At 42.4% G+C, this 7,508-nt stretch overlaps 1 pseudogene across 1 annotated transcript; it reads right to left on the bottom strand.

The window, feature by feature from the left end:
• Nucleotides 1-211: 211 nt before the first annotated feature.
• On the bottom strand, nucleotides 212-2,366 carry SRD5A1P1 (steroid 5 alpha-reductase 1 pseudogene 1; annotated as a pseudogene). Its single transcript, NR_028597.1, has one exon. The product of NR_028597.1 is annotated as a steroid 5 alpha-reductase 1 pseudogene 1 (transcript).
• Nucleotides 2,367-7,508: the final 5,142 nt, after the last annotated feature.

The following is a 7,508-nucleotide window of genomic DNA, read 5'->3' as shown; positions in this document are numbered from 1 at the left end:
GTTCAGAAAGAATGTTCAGACAGAAAACTCACTGAATGTGCTCTCTAAACACATTTGTTACTCTGCAAACTGGAAAGGAAGATGATACTCATATTTCAAAGATGCCCAAGAATGCACATGTGAATGAGCAAAGACGTTGGTTTCCATGCAGAGCAGACTGAGTGCCCGTTCTCCCAATGAAGAAAGAAGCTGTGATCTGAATCTTTTTTTTAAAGCAGTATGGCAATGTTTTTATCAAAGTAGAATTCAAGTCATGAAGCATTCAACAGGAAGATTATTTTATATTGATAACAGATACAGGCTATGAGGGGAAAGCTTTGCAAAGCAACAACAGCGAAACAGAAAGCAAAAACTATTGGAAGATTAGCTATGGAAGAAAAAGAAGGCTGTAGAGAATTTTAACAATGTAATTATTATGTTTCAATCAACAAAGAACAAAGAGGATAAATCTTAAAAAGTGGTCTTGCTATCGTTACAGAAGGTGATCATTCTTTACACTACAAGGGAAAACTCAAACTCTACAAAGGAGAAATTTCACAGACAACAATCTCTAGTATATCCATACCTGGGGAACAGAACAAAAGACTAGGTCTAGACTAGAAGACAGAGAGAAACCATGTCAGACCAGAGCATATTGATGGCTCATGGTGAGTGACCCATGGCCTAAAGGTGCTTGTTTAGGGCCCAGGAGCCACTCACACAGGCAGAGCAGCTTACTCCCTATGAACCACCACCAGCACCCCTCCCTGCCCGGTGATGTCACCCGGTGGGCTGGGCTGGAACAAGTCCAGATGCCTTTGCCCCGCCTTAGAAGGGCCACAAGGAGCTTCCTCCTCTATCCCCAAGTTCTCCACTTACACACAGCACCTGACACGAAGTTTGGCAACTTTCCCCCAGGCCATGACTTCACAATGGCTACCCCCGGCCTCTGTGGCCTCCGAGAGAGGACTCCAAGACAGATCCCAGCCCTACAGGGAAAGGGAAGCAACACTGCCGTTGACCTTGAAGGGATCACCGTAGGGGGCTATAGAAGGGATTGTGACATTTATTGTTCTGAAAATGCCATCAAAGATAGTCGTAAAGTCTAGTCTTATACACACTTGGCAAGACATAGCCAAAAGAGGTAAATTCGAAATTAGAAAAAATGTCAGCAGTTATTACCTGGAGTTTGACTGAAAATGCCATCAGACAGTTGCAAATTCTAGTCTTGTACACCCTTGGCAAGACATAGCCAAAAGAGGTAAATTTGAAATTAGAAAAAATGTCAGCAGTTATTACCCGGAGTTTGAAATTCTGACCTGTTACACAGTAGGATACCTCAACCTCCGTTTCAGTTTATTTAGGTACTTATTAGGTAGCTTGCAAAATTACTAGAAAAAAAATTCCTAGAGGACATCTTGAAAATGATGAAGTAGCAGGAAAATTACAAAGATATAACTTATTTACAAAGTCCATTGAAAAATACCATTGGAAAGCTTCAAGTTGAAGGTAATTCGTTGAAAATGCACTTAAAACAAAAATGGAATTATAATTTTTCTGAACTTTGGATACTCTTCAAATTTCCGGAGGTACCGCTCATGATGCTCTTTTGCTCTACCAGATAAAAAACAAAATGTGAAGAAAGCAAAAGTCGCGCCTTGGACAGACCAGCTGGCCAGGGCATAGCCACGCCACTCCATGATTTCTCCAAAATAGTTGCCTGCAGTTATGTATTCAAATAAGCCTCCCCTTGGTATTTTGTATCCAGTATCTCCTGCTTTTCTGAGATTCCTTAGGATATGATCTGAATGGATGTTTATCAACATGCCCGTTAACCACAAGCCAAAATTTATTAGAAAACGGGGATCTTTTACTCAGTCATCAGCATACACTGCACAATGGCTCAAGTATCTGCTTTGCAAATAGCCATTACAGGTACAGAACATAATCGCCATTGTGCACGCCAACAGTGGCACAGGCTTTCCTCCTCGCATCAGAAATGGGTAAATTAAGCACCGATGCCAGTAGTGGACGAGGAACATGGCCAGGAGGATGCAGCTGGGCGCGCTGCGGAGGCGCGGGGTGGACTCACTGGTGTACTGGTAGAGCGGCAGGGCCAGTGAGGGCAGCTTCTGCACCACCCGGGTGGCCCGCGCCGGCACTCGGAGCCTGCGGCTGGGTGGCGCGTGGCGGCTGTACACTGAGTTCGTCTGACGATTCCGAGCGAAGACCGCGCAGCCCACGGCGCACTGAAGGTAGGCGAACGCAGCCAGCAGGCGCTCCTCCACCACCGCCGTCGCCGTCGCCGTCGCCATCGCCAGGGCTGGGCCGCGTGCTCCATGCCCCAGAGGCCGAGGCAGGCAACATATAGGGCGGGGGCGGGAGGGGAGTGATCTGAATCTTTTTTTTTTTTTTTTTTGGCAGTATGTAGAGATATTCTTTATTCTTTTTTTTTCTTTTTTTAATTATTATTATACTTTAAGTTTTAGGGTACATGTGCACAATGTGCAGGTTAGTTATATATGTATACATGTGCCATGCTGGTGTGCTGCACCCATTAACTCGTCATTTAGCATTAGGTATATCTCCTAATGCTAACCCTCCCCCCTCCCCCCACCCCACAACAGTCCCCAGAGTGTGATGTTCCCCTTCCTGTGTCCATGTGTTCTCATTGTTCAGTTCCCATCTATGAGTGAGAACATGCGGTGTTTGGTTTTTTTGTCCTTGTGATAGTTTGCTGAGAATGATGATTTCCAATTTCATCCATGTCCCTACAAAGGACATGAACTCATCATTTTTTATGACTGCATAGTATTCCATGGTGTATATGTGCCACATTTTCTTAATCCAGTCTATCATTGTTGGACATTTGGGTTGTTTCCAAGTCTTTGCTATTGTGAATAGTGCCACAATAAACATACGTGTGCATGTGTCTTTATAGCAGCATGATTTATAGTCCTTTGGGTATATACCCAGTAATGGGATGGCTGGGTCAAATGGTATTTCCAGTTCTAGATCCCTGAGGAATCACCACACTGACTTCCACAATGGTTGAACTAGTTTACAATCCCACCAACAGTGTAAAAGTGTTCCTATTTCTCCACATCCTCTCCAGCACCTGTTGTTTCCTGACTTTTTAATGATTGCCATTCTAACTGGTGTGAGCTGGTATCTCATTGTGGTTTTGATTTGCATTTCTCTGATGGCCGGTGATGATGAGCATTTTTTCATGTGTCTGTTGGATGCATAAATGTCTTCTTTTGAGAAGTGTCTGTTCATATCCTTCGCCCACTTTTTGATGGGGTTGTTTGTTTTCTTCTTGTAAATTTGTTTGAGTTCATTGTAGATTCTGGATATTAGCCCTTTGTCAGATGAGTAGGTTGCAAAAATTTTCTCCCATTTTGTAGGTTGCCTGTTCACTCTGATGGTAGTTTCTTTTGCTGTGCAGAAGCTCTTTAGTTTAATTAGATCCCATTTGTCAATTTTGGCTTTTGTTGCCATTGCTTTTGGTGTTTTTGACATGAAGTCCTTGCCCATGCCTATGTCCTGAATGGTAATGCCTAGGTTTTCTTCTAGGGTTTTTATGGTTTTAGGTCTAACGTTTAAGTCTTTAATCCATCTTGAATTAATTTTTGTATAAGGTGTAAGGAAGGGATCCAGTTTCAGCTTTCTACATATGGCTAGCCAGTTTTCCCAGCACCATTTATTAAATAGGGAATCCTTTCCCCATTTCTTGTTTTTGTCAGGTTTGTCAAAGATCAGATAGTTGTAGATATGTGGCATTATTTCTGAGGGCTCTGTTCTGTTCCATTGGTCTATATCTCTGTTTTGGTACCAGTACCATGCTGTTTTGGTTACTGTAGCCTTGTAGTATAGTTTGACGTCAGGTAGCGTGATGCCTCCAGCTTTGTTCTTTTGGCTTAGGATTGGCTAGCGTCTTACCTCCTCTGCCTGCTGAACACATGAAAGAAGAGTCAAGAGAAAGAATGAAGACAAAATGCAATGTACAATGAAGAGATTGTTTGACTCCATTAGGTGCTCTTATACCTCCTACATTCAGAAAATCTGTTGTTTAATTTATGCACTTTGTAAATTCAATTCAACACTTTTGAGTGCCCAGTAGTTCTAGGCACACTTAACATATGTAGGGATATTCCAAGTATACAGCAATGGCAAGCCATGGGTGGGAGTGTTGCTGCACGTTTGAGAAAGAGTGAGGAGGCTAAAGAGGCTGGCATGGAATGATTGAGGGGAAGAAAAGTAAAATATGAGGTAAGAGAGGCAACAAAAAGCCAGATCATAGATAACCTTGTGGGCCATTATAAGAACTTTTACTTTTACCCTGATTAAAGTGTGGTACCATTGTAGAGTTTTGGGTAAGGGAGTGTCCTATTAAAGCAAATACTCTGAGAATAGACTGGGAGAATCTGATGATTAAATGTCTTGGGGACGATCTTCTCATGGAGTATCTTACTGGGGTTCTCTGCATTTCCTGAATTTGAATGTTAGCCTCTCTAGCTACGTTGGGGAAGTTCTCATGAATGACATCCTGAAACATGTTTTCCAACTTGGTTCTATTTTCCTTATCTCTTTCCAGTACACCAGTCAGTCATATATTCAGTTCGTTCACACAATCTCATATTTCTTAGAGCTTTTGTTCATTCCTTTTCATTCTTTTTTCTGTATTCTTGTCTGTCTTATTTCAGAAAGTCAGTCTTTACGCTCTCAAATTCCTTCCTCTGCTTTATCTATTCTGCTATTAATACATGTGATTGCATTCTGAAGTTCTTGCAGTGTGCTTTTCAGCTCTATCAGGTTGACTGCATTCCTTTCTATACTGGCTATTTTGTCTGTCAGCTCTTGCAATGTTTTATCATGATTTTTAGCTTCCTTGCATTGCATTACAATGTAATCCTTTTGCTGAATGAAGTTCGTTCCTATCCATATCCTGAATTCTACTTCTGTCATGTCAGCCATCTCAGCCTCAACCTAGTTCTGAACTCTTGCTGAAAAGTTGATGCACTCATTTGGAGGAAAGAGGACACTCTGGCTTTTTGAGTTTTCAGTGTTCTTTTTCTGATTCTTTCTCATCTTTGTGGGCTTCTACCTTCAATCTTTGAAGTTGCTGACCTTTAGTTTTTTTTTTTTTTTTCTTTTAGCAGTCTGGCCACTTTTCTGTAGGGCTGCTGTGGTTTGCTTGGGGTCCACTTCAATCCCTAGTTGCCTTGGATCTTCTAGTATCCTAAAGTATCCCCAGTAAAGGCTGTGAAACAGCAAAGACAGCAATCTGTTCCTTCTTCTGGGAACAGAACAATCTGTTCCTTCTTCTGGCCCAGGAGGTATGGATCTGTTGCTGGCCCAAACGCACCTGTAGGAGGTGGCTGGAGACCCGATTGGGATGTCTTACCAAGTCATGAGAAACAGGATCAGGGACCTGCTTAAAGAAGAAGTCTGACCACACTTTCATAGAGCATCTGTGCCACTTCCATCCCCAGTCAGCTTGGGCTCTCCAAAGCCTGGAGGCTGGAATGGATAAGTTGCCCAAACAGCAAAGTCGACAGCCTGCCCTTCCCTCTGGGAGCTCTGTCCCAGGGAGTTTTCAAATCTCTTTTAGCCAGAGAACACCAGTGAGGGTGGCTGGAGGCTTCAGTTGCGGGGTCCCGCCTAGTGATGAGGAGTGGGATTGGGGACCCACTTAATGAAGTTGTCTGGCCACATTTGGATAGAGCAGCTGTGCTCTGCTGCGGGATCCCTTCTGCACCCAGTTGGTTTGGACTCTCCAAAGCCTGCAGGCTGGAATTGCTAAGTCGCCCAAACAGCAAAGATGGCAGCCCACCCCTCCCCCGGGAGCTCTGTCCCAGGTAGGCACAACACTGCTGCTAGTGGCTGGTTGGAATTCCAAGCCAGTGGGTCTTATTTTGTGAGGTGCCATAGAAGTAGGGCCCGCAGACCATCACTGCTTGGCCCCCTGGATTCAGCCTCTTTGCTAGGGGTATGTACAGGGATTGATTCTCCCACTTTGCCCAGAGCTGTTCCCAAGTCTCTGCTCGTGCCCAAGTGACTGCTCTGCTGAGACTCCAGGTATTTCTGTGTGTCAGACTGAAGGCTCTGGTGAAGTGGGTTCACAAGGGGATCTCCTGACCTGAGAGTTGCAAAGATCTGTGGGAGAAGCATCATTTCCTGGGGTAGCACATTCACTCACCACTTCCTTGGCAGAGGTTCTTCTGGTTCCATATCACTTCTGGGTGGGCCATTGTCTTGCCTTGTTTTCTCCATCCTCCGTGCGTCGAGTTGTTGCCTTGATTAGTCCCAATGCAAGTGCCTGGATGTTTCATTTCAACGTGCTGTATTTACTTGCTCCTTTCATTCCTCTCCATGAGAGTCATGCACTAGCTGCTTCCAATCAGCCATTCTCTATTTGCTTATATATTTAATTTTAACAGTGAGTTTTATGCTTTCATATGCTTTTTGTGTTACTGTTTAACCTCTTTTATTTTAACCTGAAGAACTCTCTTTAGTATTTCTTCTAAGGCAGGCCTAGTGGTGACAAACCACTCCAGCTAAGTTTTTTTTTTAGTCTGGAGAAATCTTAATTTGTCCTTAATTTCTGAAAGATAGTTTTGCCAAGTACAATATTCTTGGTTGACAATTGCTTTCTTTAAGCACTTTGAATATATTACCCCCTTCCCTTCTGGCCTGTAATATTTCTGCTGAAAAATTCACTCATAATATGATGCAGGATCACTTGTACATAAGGAGTTGCTTTTCTCTTGCTGCTTTCAAAATTTTTTCTTTGTCTTTGAATTTTTACAATTTGATTATAATGTGTTTTGCTATAAGGGTTCAACATATGGAAATTCAAGGGATCCAGAATAGCCAGAACAATCTTGGAAAAAAATAAACAAGGAACAGTTACACAGTTGGAGGATATATCACTTCACACCCCCTAAGACGGTCATAATAAAAAATACAGATTATAACAATATTGGTGAGGATGTAGAGAAATTCAAACTCTCATATTTTGGTAAGTTAACTTTGGAAACATTATGCTAAATGAAAGATGCTAGTCACAAAAGACCACATATTTTGTGATACCACTTATATGAAATATCCAGAATAGGAAAATCTATAGAGATTAAAAGTAGATTATTAGCAGGGATGCAGGGAAAGGGCCATGACTGATGTGCTTGGGGTAACAGCTAAGAGGTGCAGGATTTTTTTTTGGAGTGATGAAAATGTTCTGAAATTGAATGTGGTGATGATTGCACAACTCTGTGAATATATTAAAACCCATTGAATGGTATACTTTAAATGCATGAATTGTATGTAAATTATATCTCAATAAAGCTATTTTTTATTTATTTATTTATTTATTTTTATTACACTTTAAGTTTTAGGGTACATGTGCACAACGTGCAGGTTTGTTACATATGTATACATGTGCCATGTTGGTGTGCTGCACCCATTAACTCGTCATTTAACACTAGGTATATCTCCTAATGCTATCCCTTCCCCCTCCCGCCACCCCA

The sequence above is a fragment of the Homo sapiens genome, chromosome X, assembly GCF_000001405.40.
Source record: "Homo sapiens chromosome X, GRCh38.p14 Primary Assembly".
Taxonomy (NCBI): domain Eukaryota; kingdom Metazoa; phylum Chordata; class Mammalia; order Primates; family Hominidae; genus Homo; species Homo sapiens.
This window is presented reverse-complemented; position numbering and strand designations above follow the sequence as displayed.